The sequence below is a fragment of the Homo sapiens genome, chromosome 7 (assembly GCF_000001405.40).
Source record: "Homo sapiens chromosome 7, GRCh38.p14 Primary Assembly".
Lineage (NCBI taxonomy): Eukaryota > Metazoa > Chordata > Mammalia > Primates > Hominidae > Homo > Homo sapiens.
Window position 1 is genome coordinate 145,182,497 of NC_000007.14, and position 2,685 is coordinate 145,185,181.

At 35.2% G+C, this 2,685-nt stretch overlaps 1 annotated feature.

Annotated features, from left to right (window-relative positions):
• Nucleotides 587-1,786: an enhancer, noted in NCBI's record as "P300/CBP strongly-dependent group 1 enhancer chr7:144880176-144881375 (GRCh37/hg19 assembly coordinates)". NCBI's record gives its function as "activates an origin of replication core promoter dependent on BRD2, BRD4, P300/CBP, MED14 and CDK7 cofactors, with strong dependence on P300/CBP, by STARR-seq in HCT116 cells {active_cell/tissue: HCT116}" and the evidence as "EXISTENCE:reporter gene assay evidence [ECO:0000049][PMID:35650434]".

Below are 2,685 nucleotides of genomic sequence, written 5' to 3' on the forward strand. Positions count from 1 at the left end.
AATACTTATAAAGTACTTAGAAGAGTACCTAACATTGGCACATAGTAAGACTTTGTAAAAAATAAAAATAAAAATAAATCCAAAATTCTGTTCATTGTGGCTGCAATTTGTATACTTAAAAGCATTTTTATTTATGTTCTTATGTACAGTAGTCACCCCTTATGTTCAGGGGATATGTTCCAACACCCACAGTGGATGTTTAAAACTTAGGGTAGTACTAAACCCTATATATAGTATGTTTTGGTCTCTCTATACACACACCTATGATTCAATTTATTTTATTAGGTAGGCACGGCAAGAGATTAGCAATAATCATGAATAAACTAATAAACAATTAAGTTCAATAAGGGTTATTTGAACACAAGCACTGTGATACCACAGCAGTCGATCTATTTGCGATGGCTGCTAAATACCTAACGACCAGGTCGTGTTCAGGGTAGACATGCTGGGCAAAGTGGTGATTCACCTCGTGGGAGGGATGAAGGGTGGAGGAGGATGACATGAGATTTTGTCATGTTACTCAGAATAGCAGAAAATTTAAAACGTGTCAGTTGTTTATCTCTGGAATTTTTCATTTAATAATTCTGGACCTTGGATGAGAGCAGGTAAGTACAACTCCGAATTAGGGGGAAGGAACTATTGTAAATATTTTTCTGATGAGGTCACTTAACAAAAAGTGGAGGAAAAATAAAAGTTCAAACAGGGTAAAGGGAGATGGTGTCATAGTCCAAAGCTTCATTTGTAATTGTTTCCATTTCTGCAGTCACGTGACATAGAGTAGATCAGTATGAGTAACAAATTATTAGCCTTATAAGTATAAAGGGAATTGAATGTGATGCATTAACAGGAAGTAGAACTTTCGTTCATAACTTTCTTATTTGGCACAGACCTTGATCTCATACGACCTCTTCCTGGATTGTTTCTTCTAAACAACCAGTTAGACCAAAATGTATACTGTTTAACTTAAATAAAAGGGAATACGTATTTACTTCTGGATTGGATTGGATTGATTTCCCTGTAAAACTAACTAAAGAAAATATAGCCAAAGAACAGAATAAGCGTTCACTCAGATCACCTCGCTAGTTTTAGTCTGGAAGTAAATTTCAAATTCAGAGAATATACTATATAAATGTAAATTGTACCTTTTTGAAATGAATTCATGAATTTGTATTCACATGGGCCAAATCTTATGTTCTGTTTGGGTTGGGGTTTTGTCCACAGGAGTCTGTTACACTGTGAAAAAAAAATAAGCAAAGCTATTTAACTTTTAACTTATCACACTGACACATTTTTCAGAGAAATTCAATGGATGCAGGAATTGAAAGTGGGAAGATTTAAAGATGACTTCCAGGATTCTGGCTCGAGCAGTTGGATGAATGACATGACATTTAATAAGAATAGGGACAATAGAGAAGAAGCAGAAATTTGGGAAAATATGATGAGTTCAGCATCAGACAGGGAGTAGTTTACGTGTCTTACAGCACATCTGATGTGAGACACTAAGCACCGCAACAGGAGAGGTGTGACTCCGGAGAGATGAGGGCCAGAGATGCAGATTTGCAGTTGTCAGTGTGCAGACCGCACTCCAAACCACGTGAAAGGCCTGCCAGGAGGATTGTGTGCAAGGAATAGAAAATAAAATTTAAGCCAGAACCCAGAAAAATACAGGTACTTACAGGAAGAGTAGATTAGGAGCCAGAAGAAGAGACTTAAAAAATAGTCATAGTTAGAGATATAATGTAATATTATGGAAATGAAAGAAGTGCAAGGAGATGATATGGTCAGCATTGTTGAGTAAATCCTTACATTATTAAAAAAACAGAATGCAGTGAAGGATCTAAATGAATTATCTTCGAGTAAGAAAAACAAGGCAAAACAATGATTATGTTAATCACAACTTAAATAATTCTTCTCATTTTATACGCAGACATGATAAACTTTGCAGGAAAGAACAAGTAGTTTAATATTAGTGAAGGGAGTTCATGAATTTAGAAAGTATCATAACATGGACATTTACAACAATCTCTTCCTTTTGTAGGTGGAAAGGTAAGTCCTGGGCAGGGAGAGTGATTTGCCTAAATCACCCAAATCATAAATAAAAGGAGCAGGGACAAAAGATTTTTGACTCTCGATACTTGGTTGGAAAAAAATCATTAAATCAAAAACAAAATGAGTTATAATAGCAAGGGTTCCTTAGCATTACGTAGAGTAGATCGGTATGAGTAACAAATTGTTAGCCTTATATGTATAAACGGAATTGAACGTGATGCATTAACAGGAAGTAGAATTCTTGTTCATAATTTTCTTATTTAGCACAAACCCGATCTCATAGGACCTCTTTCTCGGTTGTTTCTTTCAAACAATCAGAATTAGACAAAAACGTATATTGTTTTAACCCAAATAAAAGTAAACAAGTTTTTATTTCTGCATTGGATTGGAGTTATTTCTCTGTTACACTAAAGAAATATAACCAATGAGTGATTAACTAAAGAAATCACTACTCAGACAGTAATGATGACATGGAGTGCATCAGAGAAATTATTGCCTTTAAAGAAGAAGTAATAAGAAAGCCACAATATCCCCAGCAGAAATGGGGAAAGGGATTTCTTACCTGTCTGGGAATGATTGAAGTATTGTAAGGTCTGTCTAGAGGTTGAATAATGACCTGTCTTCCCCTTTTGTCAT